The sequence below is a fragment of the Homo sapiens genome, chromosome 18 (genome assembly GCF_000001405.40).
Source record: "Homo sapiens chromosome 18, GRCh38.p14 Primary Assembly".
NCBI lineage: Eukaryota > Metazoa > Chordata > Mammalia > Primates > Hominidae > Homo > Homo sapiens.
Window position 1 is genome coordinate 267,493 of NC_000018.10, and position 23,708 is coordinate 291,200.

The window sequence follows — 23,708 nt, forward strand, 5'->3', positions numbered from 1 at the left end:
TAGGAGTTAGACACGGTGGGTTAAGGGGTGGTGAAGAGACGGCGGGAACAAGCACTTGGTAGCTCAGAAGGCTAGGGCGGGAGCCAGGTCTTTGGACTGAAACCACTCCCACCCTCCCCCTTCAGCAGCTCCCCTTCCCCTTCTCGAGACACCTGCCCCACTAAACGAGCTGAGAGGATGGACCCAACCAGCAGTAGTCTGCAGGTGGGCACTCCAAGCGGGGAGCCGAGGCGCCCAGCACGCAGTCCGGGGACCCGCTGGAGGGTGGGCGGAGGCGGACGGCCCAGCCCACAAAGAAGAGGCGGGTAGTGCGTCTTTCCCTACCCCTCAACCTCCGACGGGGCCCGGAGCGGACGCTGAGGCGGACACACCTCTGTCTCACTTTACCCCAGGGCAAAATTCGAGTAATTTCAGGGAGAAGAGGACAAAGCATAGCGCCGGGTCAGGCCTGCACCCTCCCCTCTACAGCTCACCGTAAACCGCGTCCGCGCTTCGGGCAAACTGAAGAGCGGCGGCGTCGGAGACATCTTCTCGGCTGCGCGTGCCCGCCACTGCGCTGCGGCGCCTGCCGATGACGTCAAGCCAGGAGCAACGAGACTGCGGTCTCTCTGAGCCCGGCTAGAGTGGCCTGTGAACACCGGTCGGGCGAGCTGGCAGTTGGGAGTTTCCCTAGCGACTCAGTTCGGGTGGGCGTTGGGCGCCTGAGTCAGCCAAACAGCCTACTCGGGGTTCTTGGGTAGCCTTTGGGGTGAGGGGACTTGGGCGGCCTTGGTCTGTAAGCTCTGCGTTCCCGGGCGTGGAAGAGACTGGCCGCGCACATGCGTTTCTGTGGTTTTCCTGGTTTGGGGAAAGCGGGTAAATGGTGGCTGGTTGCGGCTAACTGGGCCGCGCTAAAAGGTAACCCAAGGCAGGTGGATTACCTGGGGAAACAGCTGGAGCAGTGGTCCTGGGCCGCCAGTCCGCGGTCATCCCGGGAGCTTAAGATGCGGAGTGGTGATAGGCTCCGGATGTATGAGCCCTGTGGCTCAAGGGCGCTGTTCTCTCTGCTCCGAAATAGAAATAATACCTGTCTCACAGAGCTGTTGAAAAGCTCCACTGAAATAATGACCGCAAGTGTGAACTGTAAAGCAATGTAAGTAGTATTTATTATTAAAAGGTCTCTACTGAAAGAAAGAGACCTAGGAGGAATGCAGTGCCCGGCGCTGATTGGAAAACGGGTGGCGCTGCGTCCTGGGCCGAGGCTTCCCTAGCGAAAACCTTGTCTCCCTCCATTTCGTCCCTTGCCTGCCTTCCCAGGAGAGACGTGGCCGATAGAAGCCGAGTGGCAGTAACTCTAAGTTGGAGTTACACGGTGGAGAAGGAAGCACTGACTCAGACTCGGGTAACTTCCTCTTATTCCCTCACACGTGTATCTTGTTCCCTTCTTCGAAGTCTGTAAATTTAAAATCCTAAGCCCCCCAACAACTGAACAGACCCCCGTGAGGCCAAGGGGACACCAGCAAAATCTTAACAACTGAGTTCCCAGTCATAACGGGATGGGAGGTCAGACGGACCTGGTTATACCCTCTCCCTTTTGTGATTTAGAGGAGATAGCTGACTGGCCATAAAGTTAAAATAGAGGCCAGGCGCGGTGGCTTACGCCTGTAATCCCAGCACTTTGGGACGCCGAAGCAGGTGGGTCACCTGAGGTCAGGAGTGGATCACCTGAGGTATGGCAAACATGGTGAAACGCTGTCTCTACTAAAAATACAAAAATTAGCCGGGCGTGGTGGCACGCACCTGTAATCCCAGCTACTCAGGAGGCCGAGGCAGGAGAATGGTTTGAACCCGGCAGGCGGAGGTTGCAGTGAGCGGAGATCGTGCCATTGCACTCCAGCCTGGGCGACAAGAGTGAAACTCTGTTTCAAAAAAAAAAACGGAGATGATAGGACTGACGGAATTGACTCCATGGCAATAAGATACCAAAGTATAAACAGGACCTAAGCCCATGCCAAGCAAGGGTTAAAAGTCATGCATCCCTACGCTTGAAAAATAAACTATGTTCTCACTATGCTTCAAGGTTTTTCTTTAGCAGCTAAACAAGCGCTGGCCTCACAGTATTAAAACAATTTGCAGTTCATCGACCACCAGACACTAACAACCCTCTCCCACCAGCCGTAACTACAGCTTTTATTGATTTCAGTTACTTTCTCCTGATAAGAAGGTCACTGACCATGGACTTGTTCTGGCCAATTTGTAGTGATTGCATGCTTACGTAACTTCCTGAAAAGATATTTTGATGTATAGGACCAAACTGTAAATACATTTAAATGTTAAGTCTCCACCCCAAAGTGAACATGGATTGTCTGTTAAACATGCATATTTGTTTAATATGCATGTGTCAAGACCACTTTCATGAATATTCATAGCCGCTCCTCTAACTTGTTGAATATGTATGTTTAGCCAACCAGTTAAGCATAAAGTTCCTACTCCAACTCCTCCTCTGAAGTGTCTGTATGTGGTCTTGGCTGGAGGCATGCTTCCCAGCCTGCAGAATGGCCACCTTGCAGGCTGTAACTCCTTATAAGAAACAAAGTCTCTCCTTTTCTAAATCTATAGATCTTATGATTTTTTAGTTAACATGCACAATAAGAATACAGGAAGCTAAGGAAAAGATAACTGCAGAATCTTACTCCTAAGTGGGAATTGTGAACAATAATGACTACCTGAAATGTTACAGGCTTTTTAAGAATCAGCAAGATCATTCAGGTTTGGTTGTATACATTAAATTTACAAATTGGCAAAATAAAAATGATTTAATTCAGAATTATACTTTGTTTATCTGATACTAATTGTTGTAATAGGATTATCATATTACAGATGACTATTAACCATCTGGAACACAACTAAGACCTCAGAGGCAAGTACATTTTTTTCTTTTCTTAAGAGACAGGGTCTCATTCTGTCATCCAGACTGGAGTGTAGTGGTTTGATCATAGCTGACTGTATCCTCAAACTCCTGGGCTCAAATGATCCTCCTGCCTCCATTTCCCAAGTAGCTGGGACTAGAGGCATGTGCCACCAAGCTCAGCTAATTTTTTTATTTTTGTAAGACAGGGTTTTGCTATGTTGCCTAGGCTGGTCTTGAATTCCTGGGCTCAAGTGGTCCTGCCTCGGCCTCCCAAAGTGCTGGGATTACAGGCATGAGCCACTGTGCCTGACCTGGCACTTTTCTTATATTGCTTCTAGTCCTTACAACAATTTTTTACTTAGTTATATATTAATGAGTATACAGCCTCATTGGCTGTAAGTCACATGGCTAGAGAAAGCTAAGTTTGGAATTTGAGCCTAGCTGTCATCCCAAAGCCTGTATTTTTCTTAAGTCTTAACTCTTGAATCTTTACCATGGGCCTATTCAATGTTTCAGAAATTATTTCCTTACAATTGGATAAGGGCGAGGACCATAGTGTCATTAATAACAAAACATAGGCCCGGTGCGGTGGCTCACGCCTGTAATCCCACTACTTTGGGAGGCCGAGCCAGCTGGATCACCTGAGGTCGGGAGTTTGAGACCAGCCTGGCCAATATGGTGAAACCCCATCTCTACTAAAAATACAAAAATCAGCCAGGCATGGTGGCAGGCACCTGTAATCCCAGCTACTCGGGAGGCTGAGTCAGGAGAATCGCTTGAACCCGGGAGGCGGAGGTTTCAGCGAGCCAAGATCCTGCCATTGCACTCCAGCCTGGGCAACAAGAGCAAAACTCCATCTCAAAAAAAAAAAAAAAAAAAAAGAGTTTTTTGTTTTTTGTTTTTTTGTTTGTTTGTTTGTTTGTTTTTAAGTGGGTAATAACATCCAGAGGGCAGACATCCAGGAACATGTAACCTTTTCACTTATATTTACTGAGCACCTGTTTTTCCTCATGCTAGCTGGTGAAGTAAGATGGACGAAGGACTGCCTCTCTGTTAGGAAATAACTTGCATGGGAGAATCTAGGATGGATGGTTTAGATCAGTTCTAGGCATTCACATCTTCATTCCTCTTTTTTTTCCTTAGTGTGGCCTTACTTGAGTTCAGTTTACCATTGGAATGGTAAGATCTGGGAGGAAAGGACTAAGGATGCAGTTTAATCTGCTTTTCTTCTAGTTCTTATCCTGACTATTGTCTAGGCAGAAGGAAGCTTTTTGCTCCATGCTTACTGGTCGGCCACATTAGGATGTTGGATTGCAGGTTTGCCTTTTTCAGCATTTGGGCCCCAGCCATCTCTCCCTTTCTCTCATTTGTAGTTTAAGTGGATTGAAATAATTATATTTATTTAAAGGGAACTGATGTTTGAGTGGCAAAGTTGAATAAAAAGAATGAGACTCCTGCATTGTGAGAGGAATGGAACTGAGAAGAATAAAAATGAAAAAAATGGCCGGGCACAGTGAGTCACACCTGTAATCCCAGCACTTTGGGAGGCCAAGGTGGGTGGATCACTTGAGGCCAGGAGTTTGAGACCAGCCTGACCAAGATGGTGTAACCCTATCTCTACTAAAAATACAAAAAATTAGCTGGGTGTGTTGGCCGCGCCTGTAATCCTAGCTACCCAGAAGGCTGAGGCAGGAGAAGCGCTGGAACGTGGGAGGTGGAGGTTTCAGTGAGCAGAGATCGTGCTACTGCACTCTAGCCTGGGTGACAGAGTGTGACTCTATCTCAAAAAAAAAAAGGAAAAGGACGGCCCTTTATACTCTAGAGCTTAAATTTTCTTGGAAAAAGAGTAATTTTCATGAAAGCTATGTAGGGAGGCTGTATTTTTATAGCATAGTGGCAATTTTCAAGCATTTTATATTGTTGATATTGTACTGTTTGTTCAATATATTGAGTGCTTACTATCTGCCAGGCAAAGGTATAATATTATTGAAATATATATGTAGCACTATTTTATTATATTGCAGGTACTGTATATATCATTATCTAGCATATATTGTAAAATCCTGTTTGGTGGGCTCAGTTGGACCACATAATGAGCATAATTCAAGGTGAGAGATGGAATAGTGGGTCAGTTTTTGCCCGGGCATGCCAAGCTTCCCTGCAGGGTTAGTCAAGGGATTTGCCTGAAATTCTACCATTGTTTGGCTTGTTCCCCTTTCCTGTCCTGTTTTTCTCTCTCCCTGAGAGTATTATCTTAACAAATCATTTGCTTATGAATTATCACCTCAGGATTTGCTTCTGAAGATCCGGATTGTGTTCGTTTGGGTCTACATAGAAGCAGACACAGATACATTACACCATACATTGGATGTGCAAGAGATTTACTAAGGAGAGAGCAAGAGCAGGGAGGGAGAACTTGCAGACAGCAGTGCAGGTCTGACACTCACAGGAGGAGAAAAGGAAGGAATGTGGATTGGGTAAGAAGTTTCTGGGTACAGTGCAATTCCAAGAAAGGGTTGGCTTTGCAAAGAGTCCTGCAGTTTGTCAGAATGGGCCTGTACTAGTACCTTTGCCATCCTCATTCATTGACTGGGACCCTCAGAAAGCATGGCCTTGGTGCAAATGTGGTGGTTGATCCAGAGGGTAGCAGCTTGAGCTGTCAGTCAACTGTGGTCCCCGCAGCTGAAGATCTGAGTAGAGCATTATCATGGCCACCACACTGCCCTAAGATACTAATCATGTAGTAATTTTTTATTTGTATTCAGAAAATATTTTCTTTGTTTATTCTCAACAAATATATGTGAACCTAGCACTGTGAACAAAGAAGAGTTACTACCCTAATGAGGCCTTTATTCTGTGTGGGAGCAGGGTTATTTATTTATTTATTTTTGAGACGGAGTCTCGCTCTGTCGCCCAGGCTGGAGTGCAGTGGTATGATCTTGGCTCACTGCAACCTTGGCCTCCCGGGTTCAAGTGATTCTCGTGCCTCAGCCTCCTGAATAGCTGGGACTACCGGCACACAGCACCATGCCCAGCTAATTTTTGTATTTTTAGTAGAGATGGGGTTTCGCCATGTTGGCCAGGCTGGTCTCAAACTCCTGGCCCCAAGTGATCCGCCCACCTCAGCCTTTCAAAGTGCTGGGATTACAGGTGTGAGCCACCGTGGCTGGCCAAGGTTTTTTAAATAAATAAAAATATAAAAGAATTTTACTATGTGGTAAATGGTAGCATCTACTGAGTACTGTTGTGTGCTTGAATTCTAAGTGCTATTCATTTAATCTTCTTTTCAGCCTTATGAGGTAGGTATCCTTTATTCCCATTTTACAGATGATAAAACCGAGGCGAAGTGCTTAAGTAACCTAGCCTCAGCAACACTCAAAGTCAAAGAAATGAGAGACTAAGGTAGAGAATACTTGGGTAGTATTTAACTTTAAATAGGGTTGTTAGGAAAGGCCTCTGTGAGGAAGTGATATTTAAGCAAAAACATAAAGATGTAAAGGAATTAGTTGTATAATCATTTTATGGGAAGGGGGTTTGGCAAGGGAAGGCAAGGATGAGCGCTCCAGGTTGAAGGAGCAGCATGTGCGATGGCTCATGTTAGGAAGGAGGTCCACCTACTTGGGAACTGACAGGAGGCCTGTGTGACTGGAGGACAGTTAGCAAAATGGAGGGCTGTGCGGATTGAAGCTGGCGGCAGGGCCACGTGGGTCAGGACTTCGCAAGTCTGGAAGTTCACTCGGCACACAGTAGCCATCTGGAATCTAGTTGAACACAGAAAAGATTTTGAGAAGTTCTTAATTGTTTTGCATGAACAGTGGAGGATCATTTGCTTTCACTGGTCTCCTTGCTTCCACTCTGTGGAGCGTGATTTCCCTCACAGGACTGGTGCTTTTTCATTAAATGTTGATGATCATAAGGAAGGCTAAGATTGTTGAGTCCTCATAGCAGGGACTGGGGGACTGCTCAGCACATTTCTCACTCCTCCCTTGCCCTTCACCCCTACCCCCTGCCCCCACAACCCCGCTCCATTCTTGTGACAGAACAGGTGTGGGCGTGTTCATTGACTTCCAACCCCCTTCATGCATGGCTGACGCATGGGATGTTGCTGTCATGCACGTGTAACTGAATGGAGGGTTCCCTCAGGTGTTCTAGGCAATGGCACGATATTAGAGACGCCCTGAGGCAGAAAAAAATTGATGCAGCTGAAGTGAAGTGCTGTCAGTTTCACCTGTGTGGAGCTCGTTGCCATAGCAGTGGTTACAGTAAAACTGGGTCCAGAGGATGTGAACGAGGGCCAGGAGATGTACAATATAAGGCAGAAAAATGGCTGAATTGTTATCATACTCTTAAATAAGGAAAGCCAAAATAAACTGCTTTATTGGGTCTTGGCTAATTAAAAAAATAGAGGTTTAAGGATATATTTCTTAAGAACATAAAAGGTAATCATTAGTAGAATCCAAAATAATATGTACACCCCAAGCTCACTGGAGAAAATGAAAAAAAAGTAGCTCATATAACAAGAGTTAGAACAAAAAGCAGACTACAAAATAAATCTCTCTTTCTCTCTGTGTGTGTGTGTGTTTGTGTGTGTGTGGGAGAGAGAGAGAAGGAGAATGTGAAAATATGTGTAAGTACTGTACATATATGCATGTATATATTTTATAAATTAGAATGGTAGAAACAAAATCAGACATAAAGCAAAGGTCGATCTAGGCTGATGTTCACACAATTTGGGAAGGGGGGGTCTTTAAGAAGAATAATTAAAAATTACGAATACAAAATGAAAGTGAATATTGATTTGGAATGACAATAGAAATGGTGATACATTATGGATGTCACAAATGTTATAAAATCCAGAATAACATTAACTGCCTGATATCTCTCTGTAGTACTTTCTCCCAACATTTTGTTTTTTTTAAGAGATGGGGCCTCACCACGTAGCCCAGGCTAGTCTCAAACTCCTGGGCCAAGTGATCCTCCCAACTTGGACTCTCAAAATGCTGAGATTGCAGGCATGAGCCACTGCACTTGGCCTCCCCCAACATTTTTGGCTGCATATTCTTTGATCACCTCATTATATGACAATGATTATATAATATTTTAATTTAAAAGAACCAGAAAGATAATTTAGTATAGTGGATTTTTTATTATTATTATTGATAGTGTAGAAACTGAAAAAAGTTTCACAACTCACTATTGGGTGTTCCCTATCTGTGACTCCCTCTGCTAGTTCTTGCTCCAGTGACATTTCTTGCTCTGAGAACTCTAGTTCTTTGATATTGCTTGGTCTGTCACATGACAGTTGTTACAGCCAGAGCTGGCCTGGCCAGCCATGTCCTCCTGTCTTCGGTTCCCCTTCCTTCCACTGCCGCCAGCAAGCCAGTCTTCAGTGGGGAGAGGCAGCCTTGAAACTTGAGTGTTGAGCCCTGTGGGGGGAGCAGAGCAACATTTAAAAAATATCTTTGTCTTTGGTGTCTGGATGCTCAGTGGGGGCCACCAGGGAGAATTTGTCAATGAGGGCCAGGAAGATATAGTAGCACAGGCAAGTCTCTAGATAAAACAGAATACTAAAAAATACTTGATTAACCAAAAGATGTCAGGAAAGGAGGAACAAGATAAGATGGGACAAGTAGAAAACAAATAGCATGCTGACAGACTTAAACCTATCCGTATCAGTAATTGCATTAAAAGTAAATGGTAGAATAATAATAAAATTGGTGGAATAAAAAATAAATGCAATATGGAATCCTGAATAGGATTCTGGAACAGAAAAAGGACATTAATGGAAAAACTGGTGACACCCAAATAAAGTCTGGAATTTATTTGATTGTAATGTGCTAGTTTTGGTTTTTTAGTGTTGATGAATGTACTATGGTTATATAAGATATTAACATTTGTAGAGAATGGGTGAGGGGTATTCAGGACCTCTCTGTAGTATTTTTGCATCTTTTCTGTACATACAATGTTATTCCACAATAAAATGTTTATTAAAATGTACATAGACTAAATATCAAATAAAAATCATATACTATCAGTCTGGATTAAGAAAACAAGCCTCTGGCCAGGTATGCCTGTAATCCTAGAACTTTGGGAGGCTGAGGCAAGAGGATTGCTTGAGATCAGCCTGGCTTAAACAATAAAAATCAGCCAGGCATGGTGGTGTGCCACTGCAGTTCTAGCCAATTGGGAAGCTGACGTGAGAGGACTGCTTGGGCCCAGGAGTTCGAGGCTGCAGTGAGCTACCGTGGTGCCATTGCACACCAGCCTGGGTGACAGAGGAAGACCCTGTCTCAAAAAATAAAGAAAGAAAAAGAAAAAAGAGAAAACAAGTTTCAACTACCAACTGTTCAAAAGAATACACTTTAAAAATAAGAATAGGCTTAAAGTAAAAGAATGGAAAAATAAGCAAACACTAATCATGAGAAATACAGTATTACTATATTGAGGAAAAAGCAGCCTTCTAGATGAAGAGTATTATCAGAAGTAAAGAAGCTAATTTCTTAATAATTAAACAATAATCTAATCAGGAAAACATAACAGTCCTAAACATGGATCTATTTAAAAACAAAACCTCATATGAAGCAAAAATTGGCAGAACTGAAAGGATAGAGAAATCTATAATTATAGTTGGAGATCTTAATACATTTCTCTCAGTATTTGATAGAACATATATAAAAACATACAATATTTGAACGCTATTTTCAAACTTGACATAATTGATATTTCTAAAACAGTACACCCAACAAATGCAGAATGAATTTTTCAAGTACACATGGATCATTCACCAAAATAGACCATATGCTTGGTCATAATGTGAGTCTCAAAACAACCAAAGGATTAAAATGATACAGAATTCGTTCTCTTACAATAATGGAATTTAGAAATGAAAAACAAAGGATATCTAGAAAAATCAACTATTTGGGAATTAAGCAACAAAATCCTGAAAGAGCATAGGTCAAAGAAGAAATCACCAGGGAATTTAGAAAATATTGTATACTGATGGTAATGATAATGATAACTTACCAATATGACTGGGTGCAGTGGCTCACGCCTGTAATCCTAGCACTTTGGGAAACTGAGGCAGGCAGATCACTTGGGCCCAGGAGTTCAAGACCAGCCTGGGCCGCACGGTGAAATCCCGTCTCTACCAAAAATACAAAAATTAGCTGGGCGTGATGGCATGAGACTGTAATCTCAGCTACTTGGAAGGCTGAGGTGGGACGATGATTTTATTCTGGGAGTTGAAGGTTGCAGTGAGCCAAGATCATGCCGTTGCACTCCAGCCTGGGTAACAGAGCCAGACCCTGTCTCAAAACATCAAAAACCAAACAAACAAACCCAGAAACTTAGTAGTATTTGTGGATGCAGCTAGAGCAATGACTGAGCAAAATCTATAGCTTTACCATATTTTATTTTGTAGTATAATTTGTATACCTTGGATGCATATATTAGAAGAAAGGTTAAAATCAATTTAGTAAATGTCCATCTCAAGAAGTGAGCAAAAGAAGAGCAAATGAAACCCTAAGAAAGTAGACAAGTAAATAATAAATATAAGGACAACAGAATAGAAAACAAATAATAGACAAAATGAACAAAACCAAAAGTTGGTTTTTTGAAAAGATTAATAAATTAACCTTTAGCAATATAATCAAGAATAAAATAGAGGAGCAAAATTATCAATATCAGAAATGAAAAAGGGACATTGTTACAGATCCTACAGGCATTAAAAAGATAATATGATATGCCAGGAATGGTGGCTCACACCTGTAATCCCAGTACTTTGAGAGGCTGAGGCAAGAGGATCACTTGAGCTCAGGAGTTTGAGACCATCCTGGGCAACACAGGGAGGCCCTATCTCTACAAAAAAATTAATTAAAAAAATTAGCCAGGCATGGTGGCACACACCTGTTGTCCCAGCTACTTGGGAAGTTGAGTCGGGAGGATTGCTTGAGCCCAGGAGTTGGAGGCTGCAGGGAGCTACAATAGTGCCACTGCACTCCAGAGCAAGACCCTTTCTCAATAATAATAATAATAATAGGTTATTATGAAAAACTTTAGGCCCATAAATTGGAAAATTTAGAAGACAGAAAATTTTTGTAAAACACAAGTTACTAAAACTGACAAAGAAAAAATAGAAAATATGAATAGTCCTATATCTGTTAAAGAAATGCAATTGGTAATCAAAAGCTTTCTCCAGAGCAAACTTTAGGTCTAGATGGCTGCGTTGGTAAATTCTACCATACATTTAAGGAAGAAATGATACCAATCTTACACAAGGTCTTTAGAGAATAAACAGTGAGAAACCATCTACCAACTTGTTTTGTGAACCTAGCATAACTCTGATATCGCAACCTTAAAAGTACATTACAAGAAAATAAAATTACAGATAAATATCCCTTATGAACTTAGGTATAAAAGTCCCAAAAGAAAAAAGGAAGTCCTGGCTGGGCACGGTGGCTTATGCCTGTAATCCCAGCATATTGGGAAGCCAAGGCGGGTGGATCACTTGAGGTCAGGAGTTTGAGACCAGCCTGGCCAACATGGTGAAACTCCATCTCTACTAAAAATACAAAAATTAGCTGGGCGTGGTGGCTTGCACCTGTAATCCCAGCTACTCGGGAGGCAGAAACACAAGAATTGCTTGAACCTAGGAGGCAAAGGTTGCAGTGAGCCAAGATGATGCCCTTGCACTCCAGCCTGGGTGACAGATCAAGACTCTGTCTTAAAAACCTAAAAAAACAGAAATCCAATAAAATTTGAAAAGGATAGTATATCATGACCAAGTAAGGTTTATTCCAGGAATATAGGCTTGATTTAACATCTGGAGTCAGTCTATATCATTCACTGTTATCAGAATAAAGGAGAAAAATATAAATATAAGCATCTTAATAAATGCAGGAAAGGTGATGAAATTCAATGTCTATTCACGATTTTTAAAAACTCAGCCAACTAGAAATAGATGGGAAATTTTCAGTCTGATAAAAGATGTCTTTAAAAATCTTTATCTAACATCATGATAGTGAAATATTAAAATCGTTGCCCCTAAAAAGCCTAGAACAAGATGATGTCCACGTTCACCCAGTTTTATTCAACATTATAATGAAGGTCTTAGCCATTGAATTAAGATTTTAAAAGGCAACAAAAGGCACAGGATTGAAAAGGCACAAGTACAGCATCTTTATTTGCAGATGACATGATTATTTACATAGAAAATTAAAAGATAATAAAGGTATATAGGCCGGGTGCAGTGACTCTCACCTGTAATCCCAGCACTTTGAGGGACCGAGGTGGGAGGATCTTGAGGTCAGGAGATCAAGACCATCCTGGCCAACATGGTGAAACCCTGTCTCTACTAAAAACATAAAAATTAGCTGGGCATGGGGGGCGCATGTCTGTAATCCCAGCTACTCGGGAGGCTGAGGCAGGAGAATCGCTTGAACCCGGGAGGTGGAGGTTGCAGTGAGCCAAGATCGTGCCACTGCACTCCAGTCTGGTGACAGAGACTCTGTCTCAAAAAAAATAATAATAAAGATATATAACTCAGTATGAATAAGTTAATATAGCAAGATTATAAAATAAGATCAATCTATATTTTTATTTCTACATAGTAATTCTAAAAATTTGGAAAATAATATTAAAAATCACACTGTTTACCATTGTATAAACCTCAAGTACCTAATAATGAATTTCCTAAAAGATGTACAAGAATTTTAAATTATTGCTGAGATAAAGAAGATAAAATATTTCTTCTTTATAGGAGAAATTTCAAGCCTGGTGAGACACACTGTCTTAATGGTTTGTCTTTGAACAGACAAATCATCTTAATGGTTTTGAAGATTAAATATTATAAACATATCAATTCTCCCCAAATTGGTCATAGATTCAACACACTCTTAGTAAAACTCCCAGCATACTTTTTGTAACAATTGAGTAGCGCGATTCTAAAATTTACACAGACATGCAAAGGAATTTTAATAGCTAAAATAATCTCGAAGAATAATAGAGGAATTACACTACCAGATTTTGAGACTTTATAAAGCTACTGTAATTAAGGTAATGAAATAGTGTCATAAGGGCAGAAAAGTAGACCAAAGGAACAGAACAGAGTATGCAAAAACAGATGCAGACTGTTGGTTATTTGGTTTTTGACAAAAGTGAAAATAGAATCCAATATAGAAAATGAAGATCTATGTAATACAGGCATGCCTTGTTTTACTGTGTTTTGCTTTATTGCGATATTGTATTTTTGTTGTTGTTGTGGGTTTTTTTTTTTTTTTGGTGGGGGTGTTTGAGACAGGGTCTCACTTTGTCACCCAGGCTGGAGTGCAGTGGCACAGTCACAGCTCACTGCAGAGTCAACCTCCCAAAGGCTCAGGTGATCCTCCTACTTCAACTTCCCGAGTAGCTGAAGTTCATGCCACCACATCCACCTAATTTTTGTATTTTTTGTAGAGATGGGGTTTCACCATGGTGACCAGGGTGGTCTTGAACTCCTGGGCTCAAGCAATCCTCCCACCCTGGCCTCCCAAAGTGCTGTGAATACAGGCATGAACCACTGCATCTGGCCTGTTTCTTTTGTTTGTTTGTTTTTTCTGCAAGTTGACTGTTCATGGCAACTCTGTGTTGAGCAAGTCCATTGGTACCATTTTCCCAACATCATGTGCTCACTTTGTGTCTCTGTGTCACATTTTTGTAATTCTCTCTATATTTCAAACTTTTTGGTATTATATCTGTTATAGTGATCTGTGATTAGGGATCCTTGACGTTGCTATTATAATTGTTTTGGGGTGTCATGAATTGCACCCATATAAGACAGCGAACTTAATCAGCAAAAGTTGTGTGTCTTCGGACTGCTCCATTGACTGCTGCACCTACTGCCGTTTCCTTGTCTCTGTTCATCTCCTTGGGCCTCCCTATTCCCTGAGACAAGACAATATTGAAAGGAAGCTAATAACCCTGTAATGACCTCTACATGTTCAAGTGAAAGGAAGAGTTGCACATCTCTTACTTTAGATATATTTTTTGAAATAGGGTCTCACTCTGTTGCCCAGGGTGGAGTAACAGTGGCATAATCATAGTTCACTTCAGCCTGAACTCCTGGCCTCAAGTGATTCTCCTGCCTCAGTCTCCCAAAGCGCTGGCATTACAGGTGTGAGCCACCAAGCTGGGTCGGATGTCCTCACTTTAAATCAAAAGCAAGGAATGATTAAGCTTAGTGAGGAAGGCATGTCAAAAGCTGAAACAGGCCACAAGCTATGTCTCTTGTGCTAAACAGCCAAGTTGTGAATGCAAAGGAAAAGTTCTTTTTTTTCTTTCTTTCTTTTAAAATTTTTGCTTTTTTTTTTTTTCAGACAGGGTCTCACTCTGTCACTCAGGGTAGAATACAATGGCATGATCATGGCTCACTACAGCCTCGACCTCCCAGGCTCAAGCCATCCTCCTACCTCCGCCTCCTAAGAAACTGGGACCACAGGTGCACCCTACCATGCCTGGCTAATTCTTAAATTGTTTGCAGAGATTGGGTCCCACTATGTTGCACAGGCTGGTGAAAGTTCTTGAAGGAAGTTAAAAGTGCTACTCTAGTAAACACATGAATGATAAGAAAGTGAAACAGACTTATTGCTGATATGGAGAAAGTTGGAGTGGTCTGGATTGAATATCAAACTCTCCGCAACATTCCCTTAAGCCAAAGCCTAATATGTAATAAGGCCCTAATGCTCTTCAATTCTATGAAAGCTGAGAGAAGTAAGGAAGCTGCAGAAGAAAAGTTTGAAGCTAGTAGAGGTTGGTTCATAAGATTTAAGAAAAGAAGCCATCTCCATACCATAAAAATGCAAAGTGAAGCAGAAAGTGCTGATGGAAGTTACAGCAAGTTATCCAGAAGATCTAGCTAAGATCATTGATGAAGGAGACAAGACAGCCTGATATTTGGAAAAGATGCCGTCTAGGACTTTCACAGCCAGAGAGATATCAATGCTTGGCTTCAAAGGACAGGCTGACTCTCTTGGTAGGGGCTAATGCGGCTGGTGACTTTAAGATGAAGCCAATGCTCATTTACCACTCTGAGAATCTTAGAGCCTTTAAGAATTATGTGAGTCTACTCTGTCTTTGCCTGGATGACAGCACATCTGTTCGCAGCATGGTTTACTGAACATTTTAAGCTCATTGTTGAGATGTACTGCTCAGAAAAAAGATTTCTTTAAAATATTACTGTGCATTGACAATGCACCTAGTTGCCCCAGAGCTCTGATGAAGATATACAAGTTGATTAAAATGTTTTTATGTTAACACAACATTCATTTTGCAGCCCATGGATCAAGGAGTAATTTCCAAGTCTTATTATTTAAGAATTACATTTTGTGAAAAAAATTACATTTAGTAAGGTTATAGCTGCTATAGATAGTGATTCCTCAATGAATCTGGGCAGAGTAAATAAAACACCTTCTGGAAAGAATTTCCTATTCTAGATACCATTTGGAACATTTGTGCACCAGACACAGAGGCTCACACCTGTAATCCCAGCACTTTGGGAGGCTGAGGCGGAAGGACACTTGAGCCCAGTAGTTCAAGACCAACCTGGGCAACATAGTGGGACTCCCATCGCTACAAAAACAAAAATAAAAAAATTTTAGCCAGGTGCAGTGGCTCACGCCTGTAATACCAGCACTTTGGGAGGCTGAGGCGGGTGGATCACCTGAGGTTGGGAGTTCAAGACCAGCCTGACTAACATGGAGAAACCCCGTCTCTACTAAAAATACAAAATTAGCCGGAGTGGTGGCGCATGCCTGTAATCCCAGCTACTCGGGAGGCTGAGGCAAGAGAATCACTTGAACCCAGGAGGTGGAGGTTGCAGTGAGCCGAGATCACGCCATTGCACTCCAGCCTGAGCAACAAGAGCGAAACTCCATCTCAAAAAAAAAAAAAAAATTAAAAAGAATATTTGTGATTCACTGGAGGAGGTCAAAATATCAACATTAATAGGAATTTGGAAGAATTAGATCCCAACCCTCATGGATGACTTTGAGGGGTTAAGACTTCAGTGGAGGAAGTCATTGCAGATGTGGTAGAAATAGCAAGAGAACTAGAATTAGAAGAGGATCCTGAAGATATGACTGAATTGCTGCAATTTCATGATCAAACTTGAGTGCATGTGGGGTTGCTTCTCATGGATCAGCAAAGAAAGTGATTTCTTGAGGTGGACTCTTCCTGGTGAAGTTGCTGTGAACATTGTTGAAAACATTGAATCGCAATGAAGAATTTAGAATATTATATAGACTTAATTGGTAAAGCAGTGGGCAGCAGGGTTTGTGAGAGGACTGACTCTAACTTTGAAAGAAGTTCTACTGTGAGTAAAATGCTATCAAATAGCATCACATGCTACAATGAAACCATTTGTGACAGAAGAGTCAATTGATGTAAACTTCATTGCTGTCTTAAGAAACTGCCATAGCTCCCCCAGCCTTCAGCAACCACTACCCTGGTCAATCAGCACCATCAACATTAAGACAACTCTCAGCTGGGCACAGTGGCTTATCCCTGTAATCCCAGCACTTTGGGAGGCCAAGGCGAGTGGATCACTTGAGGTCAGGAGTTCGAGACCAGCCTGGCCAACAGGGCAAAACCCCATCTCTACTAAAAATACCAAAATTAGCCGGGCGTGGTGGCACATGCCTATAATCCCACCTACTGGGGAGGCTGAGGCAGGAGAACTGCTTGAACCCGGGAGGTGGAGGTTGCAGTGAGCTAACATTGTGCCACTGCACTCCAGCCTGGGCAAAGAAGTGAGACTCCATCTAAAAAAAAAAAAGACAAGACTCTCCACCAGCAAAAGATAATGACTGTATTTTTTTAGCAATAAAGAAGTTTTTTTGATTTTTGGTTTTTATTTTTGAGGCAGGGCCTCGCTCTGTCACCCAGGCTAGAGTACAGTGGTGTGATTTCGGCTCACTGCAACCTCTGCCTCCCGGGCTCAAGTGATCCTCCCACCTCAGCCTCCTGAGTAGCTTGGACCACAGGCATGAGCCACCACACCCGGCTAATTTTTTTGTTTTTTGAAGAGACAGGGTCTCACCATGTCACCCAGGCTGGTCTTAAACTCCTGGACTTAAGCGATCTACTGGCCTCGGCCTCCCAAAGTGCTGGGATTACAGATGTGAGCCACTGTGCCTGGCATAATGCATTTTTAAATTAAGGTATGTACATTGGTTTTTAAGACTTAATGCTACTGCACACTAAATAGACCGCAGTATAGTATAAACATAAATTTTAGATATGCACTGGGAAACCAAAAAAATAGTATGGCTTGCTTTATTGCAACATTCACTTTATTGTGGTGGTCTGGATCTGAACCCTCAGAGTCTCTGAGGTATGCCTGTAAATGGTGCTGGAGGAACTGAATATTCACATGGTGAAAAAAAATGAACCTCAACCCTAACTTTTGTCATACACAAAAATTACTTTTTTTATTCAATTATACACATTCATATGAAAGCTAAAACTGTGATGCTTTAGGAGAGAAAATAGAATGCCTTCGTGAATGCCTGTTAGGCAAAGATTGCTTAGATATAACGCAAAGTTCATTTACCGTAAAAGAAAAACAATTGGTGTATTGGACTTCATCAAAATTAAAACTCACCCTACTTAATGTAAATTTCTTAGCTATAGTAATTGAGATGCCATAGTAATGGTTTAGGGATAGACAGACTAAAGGAAGAGAACAGGGAGCCCCTAAAGGGACCCACACGTATATAGAGAAACTTCACCTATGTTTCATTGTATCCCGTTGTAAAGCAGTCAATAGGGAAATGGGAAATTGTTCGATGAATCACCCTGGAACAATTGTTAAAAAATAAAATGAGGCCGAGCGTGGTGGCTCACGCCTGTAATACCAGCATTTTTGGGAGGCCGAGGTGGGTGGATCACCTGAGGTCAGGAGTTTGAGACCAGCCTGGCTAACACGGTGAAACCTCGTCTCTACTAGAAATACAAAAATTAGCCGGGCGTGGTGGCGGGCACCTGTAATCCCAGCTACTCTGGAGGCTGAGACAGGAGAATCGCTTGAACCCGGGAGGCAGAGGTTGTAGAGAGCCAAGATCGCGCCACTGCACTCCAGCCTAGCTGACAAGAGTGAAACTCCATCTCAAAATAAGTAAATAAATAAATAAAATAAAATTTGATCCCTTGTATCATACAAAAAAATTCCAAGTGGATTAAAGACATAGTATGAAATGCAAAACTAAATTGTTTAGAATATATCTTAATTATCTTGGAGTAGGGAGAGATCTCACAAAATACAAAAAACATCAACCAAAAAGGAAAAGATTGATAATCTTGGCTACATTGAAATTAACATTAACCTATCAAAAGACAGTATAATAAAAGTGAAAGATGAGACTTAGAGTGGTAGAAGATACTTGCAGCATATATAACTAGTGATTAGTGTCTACAATATATTAAAAACTTTTATAAATCGGTAAGAAAATGGCAAATAACCCAGTTAAAATGACAAAAGACATAAACAGGAAATTGATAGAGAAGAGGAAACATGAAAAACTGCTTAACCCCTCACAAGTAATCAGGGAAATGCATAAAACAACACTGAGACATCGTTTTCTCATCTCGCAGATTGACACAAGTTAAAAAACATGATGAATGTGAGTGAGGAAGTTGAGCGAGTGTACTCAGCTGATGGAAATGTAATTTGGTACAACCATTTTGGGGAAGAATCTCACATTCTAGTAAGGCTGAAGATGTAATACCCTTCCACCCTGAATTTTCTAGGTGTGAACACAAGAGGATTTCTTACGCATGTACAACCGTGTATACACAGAGACATAGAAAAATGTTTATTGCAGTATCATTGACAATGCCACAGAATTGGAAATGCCAAGTGTCAATCAATGAATCGATGAATAAATTTTAAAACATTTATTTGATAAGTGTGTCAGGCAGTGAAAATGAAAGAACAAACAAGTCTCACTGGTTGCAGTGATCATGTTTTACTTTCATAATTTTCAACAGGAATATAATCAGCAAAATTGATTTTAATGGGAAAGCCACAAGAGAAAGAGAGAAAGTTCTGGGGATTGCCAAGGAAAAAGCATTTTGGAGATGAACCTCCTTTTTTTTTACCCATTAAAATATGATAATTTAACTTAGTCTCTTTCCATAGTAACACAAATTATTTTATATTCCACTGGAATATCTTCTTTGAAGTAACTGGTTCCGACCACATGAGGACAGCGTTTGCATGGAAATATTTCCTTCAAAGTAGTATAGTGGGAAAACACAGACACACACAAACTTTTTGTATTTAGATGTATTACTGTCTGGAGTGGATTCTGACACTGACCTTCAACTATCTTAGTCAATGGAAATTTTAAGTAAGTTACTGTCACAGCAAGTGTTGTGTTAGAATACTGTACTTCATTTTCATTAGTTTCGAGCCACTCAGCATCTCTATGCTGCAGATGTCAGGAAGGCTCATCTGGACTTTGGTGGTGTTTTTCTTTCAAGCTGTTTCTTTTCTAATAGCTGTTTATGTCAGTTTAGAAAATAAGTGGTACACATCTGCATCGGGGGAATTACTCAACTGTGATTATTTCACAAGGTTTTGTGACCTTTAGCGTGTATTTTTTTATTAACACCTCTAAGAGGAAAATGAAGCACTTTGCCCTCAGGGCTGGAAGAGAGATCTGACACTTGGTTCTGGTTAGATTTTCCACTACACTGTTTTTTGACCCAACACCAGATTCCACCCACTTTGTAAAAAAGTGGAAAGAAATGAATAGTTTCCTGTTTTGAAGTTAGCACCAGACCTATACTAGATTTTCAGCACTGATGGCAACAAATTATACACCGGGAGTTTAAGATAGCATTTTGAGGCCGGGTGTGGTGGCTTACGCCTGTAATCCCAGCAATTTGGGAGGCCAAGGTGGGTGGATCACCCTAGGTCAGGAGTTGGAGACCAGCCTGGCCAACATGGTGAAACCCCGTCTCTACTAAAAATACAAAAACTAGCCGGGCATGGTGGCATGCACCTGTAGTCCCAGCTACTCAGGAGGCTGAGGCAGGAGAGTCTCTTGAACCTGGGAGGTGGAGGTTGCAGTGAGCCGAGATCGTGCCACTGTACTCCAGCCTGGGTGACAGAGCGAGACTCCATCTAAAAAAAAAAATAGCATTTTGATTCAAACATCTTTCCCATAGTGTTTAGCTCACTGCCTTGTAGTTGAATGTCTTCCCTAATGAAAATAAACCTGATCAATCTATTCCCCAGCTGAAAATCCTTCAGTGGTTCCAAATGGCTTTCAAGACCTAGTTAATTCTGTGTTCAAAACTGTTTATAAATCACCCGTGCCTAACCGTTCAGTCTTATATTCATATTAGCCCAGCATGGTGGCTTATATCTGTAATTCCAATGCTTTGGGAGGTGGGAGGATTGCTTGAGGCCAGGAGTTTGAGACTAGCCTGGGCAAATAGTAAGACCCTGTCTCTACAAAAAAACTTTTTTAAAATTAGCCAGGCATGGTGGTGCCTGCTTGTAGTCACAGCTGCTTAGGAGGCTGAGGCAGGAGGATCGCTTGAGCCCAGGAGTTTGAGGCTGCAGTGAGCAATGGTTGCACCACTTCACTCCAGCCTGGATGACAGGGTGAGATCCTGTCTCAATTTAAAAATATATATATTCATATTAATAAGTTACTATATGCTAAGCACACATCACATGCCATCATTATGTTTCATATTTTATATACATGATCTCATTTATTCCTTGTTTTTAAAGATACTGTTTGCAAATTGGGAAACTAAGACTCAGAATTTAAAATATCTCTGCACAAACTGGGATTTGCACTTGGGTGTGTACTGCTCCAAAGTCATAACTATATACAGTCATTTGCTGTGCAATGATATGCAGATATGTATATTTTGTATATGTGTAATATATGATGGTCCCATAACATTATTATACCATACTTTTACTATACCTTTTCTATATTTAGATAGGTTGAGATGTACACTTACCATTGTGTTACAATTGCCTATGGTATTCAGTACAGTAGCATGCTGTAGTCATAGGCTATTCTATATAGCCTACATGTACAGTAGGCTCTACCATCTAGATTTGTATAAGTATGCTCTAGGATATTTGCACAACAACATCACATAACAGTGCATTTCTCAGAACGCATCCTCATTGCTAAGCAACACGTGACTATATTATACTTTTCTCATCTTTCCTCTCCTCACACCCATTTACTCACCAGTCAGTCTCAGCTACTCTCAGTTCCTTTCATACCTAATAACTTTTGCATATGTTTTTGCTTCTTCTTGGAATGTCTTTCTCCTCTCCTGTAACTGGTCAAATCCTCCTTTATTTAAGACTCAGCTTAGGCCAGTCATGGTGGCTCACACCTGTAATCCCAGCGCTTTGGGAGTCCGAGGTGGGCAGATCACTTAAGGTCAGGAATTCGAGACCAGCTATTGCCAACATGGTAAAACCCTGTCTTTACTAAAAATACAAAAATTAGCCAGGCATGGTGGTGCCTATAATCATAGCTACTTGGGAGGTGGAAACGGGAGCATCGCTTGAACCTGGGAGGCAGAGGTTGCAGTGAGCTGAGATCATGCCACTGCACTCCAGCCTGGGTGACAGAGGGAGGGAGACTCCATCTAAAAAAAAGCCTCTTCTTAAATTAAGCTGTAGTTATCCCTCCCTGATCCATTCAGTTCTGTTCATTGCCCCTGCTCTCAGTTACAGAGTCAGAGTCTTGAGAAGTTTTTCTTAAAATGTGTGTGTGGGAGTGGGGCAGAGGATTGGAGAGGGAATTGCCGATGTTACACTAAAAGAACCATTACCCTAAGCAATGTGGAAGTCCATTTTTAGGTTGAACCCCAATAAGGAAGTGATTCTTCTTTCCAAGAGGAGCAAAATAAGTCCATCTCTCTTAACTGAGGGTTAAAGTCACTAGGAGAGAGAAAATGCTGATTAAAGTAGTAACTGAAGTTTCCAAGTTAAAGAGAGTTACAGGGCCAAGAGAACAGACAAAGCCATTACTTGGGTTAACAAATCAAATAGGAGCCATATTTAAAGGCAAGATTTGAAATGAACTTTAAGCCCTTGCAGACATAAAGACCAAAAGGGCTTTGAAAGTAAGGGGCAACAGGCCGGGCGTGGTGGCTCACGCCTGTAATCTCAGCACTTTGGGAGGCCGAGGCGGGTGGATCACGAGGTCAGGAGATCGAGACCATCCTGGCTAACACGGTGAAACCCCATCTCTACTAAAAATACAAAAAATTAGCCAGGCATGGTGGCGGGCGCCTGTAGTCCCAGTTACTTGGGAGGCTGAGGCAGGAGAATGGCGTGAACCCAGGAGGCGGAGCTTGCAGTGAGCAGAGATCATGCCACTGCACTCCAGCCTGGGCAACAGATCAAGACTCCATCTCAAAAAAAAAAAAAAAAAACTGGAGCTAGGCTGGCGAGGCTGTGGAGAAATAGGAATGCTTTTACACTGTTGATGGGAGTGTAAATTAGTTCAACCATTGTGGAAACTGTGGCGATTCCTCAAGGATCTAGAACCAGAAATATCATTTGACCCAGCAATCCCATTACTGGGTATATACCCAAAGGATTATAAATCATTCTACTATAAAGACACATGCACACGTATGTTTATTGCAGCACTATTTACAATAGCAAAGACTTGGAACCAACCCAAATGCCCATCACTGATAGGCTGGATAAAGAAAATGTGGCACCTATACACCGTGGAATACTATGCAGCCATAAAAAAGAATGAGATCATGTCCCTTGCAGGGACACGGATGAAGCTGGAAATCATCATTCTCAGCAAACTAACACAGGAACAGAAAACCAAACACCAGATGTTCTCACTCATAAGTGGGAGGTGAACAGTTAGAATTCTTGGACACAGGGAGGGGAACATCACACACAGAGGCCTGTCGGGGTGGGGGGCAAGAGGAGGGGGAGCATTAGGACAAATACCTAATGCATGCGGGGCTTAAAACCTAGATGACAGGTTGATAGGTACAGCAAACCACCATGGCACATGTATACCCATGTAACAAACCTGCACATTCTGCACATGTATCCCGGAACTTAAAGTAAAAACAAACAAACAAACAAACAAACAAACCCCACAAAACTGGAGCTAGACTTTCACTTAGATTTGTAGCATGAATATTGCCTTTCTTATTTAGCTATTGCTTCTTCCTCCTTTTTTCTTTTATTTGCATGTATATCAGTTTTCTAGGTGCTGAGACTCTGGAAATTTCCAGGCTAAATTATGGTTCCATTTTCCTGAGAAGACTTTTTTAAAGATATGGCCTTATTAGTTCCCATTTCAAGTATTTTCTTTTTATCATTCATTTTGAAAATGTTATCAGAAAGAATGTAAATCAGCTTTTACCGAGGATGTGCCAAGTACCAGACAACTCTTTTTTTTTTCGAGACAGAGTCTTGCTCTGTCGCCCAGGCTGGAATACAATGAGATCTTGGCTAACTGCAACCTCCGCCTCCTGGGTTCAAGTAATTCTCCTGCCTCAGCCTCCCGAGTAGCTGGGATTATAGGTGCACGCCACCATGCCCAGCTAATTTTTGTATTTTTTAGTAGAGATGGGGTTTCACCATGTTGGCGAGGCTGGTCTCTAACTCCTGACCTCATGATCTGCCCGCCTTGGACTCCCAAAGGGCTGGGATTACAGGCATGAGCCACTGGGCCTGGCCCCAGACAACTTTTTCACATGCCTTTTCTCATTCAATTGCCAGCACAATCCCTATAATGTATTAATATCTCCATTATAT

The 23,708-nt window shown here is 41.8% G+C and overlaps 1 protein-coding gene across 3 annotated transcripts in view, besides 2 other annotated features; it reads right to left on the minus strand.

The window, feature by feature from the left end:
* Positions 1 to 555, minus strand: part of THOC1 (THO complex subunit 1) — a 53,528-nt gene extending 52,973 nt beyond the window's left edge. For all 3 annotated transcript variants that reach the window (NM_005131.3, XM_011525772.4, XM_017026104.2), the window contains exon 1: positions 474 to 555. In NM_005131.3, the coding sequence (NP_005122.2) occupies positions 474 to 527 (54 nt within the window). In that variant the 5' untranslated portion in view covers positions 528 to 555. The remainder of the gene's footprint in view (positions 1 to 473) is intronic.
* Positions 424 to 893: an enhancer, noted in NCBI's record as "active region_13019". NCBI's record gives its function as "activates an Ori minimal core promoter by ATAC-STARR-seq in GM12878 lymphoblastoid cells {active_cell/tissue: GM12878}" and the evidence as "EXISTENCE:reporter gene assay evidence [ECO:0000049][PMID:35858748]".
* Positions 1,284 to 1,463: a silencer, noted in NCBI's record as "silent region_9238". NCBI's record gives its function as "represses an Ori minimal core promoter by ATAC-STARR-seq in GM12878 lymphoblastoid cells {active_cell/tissue: GM12878}" and the evidence as "EXISTENCE:reporter gene assay evidence [ECO:0000049][PMID:35858748]".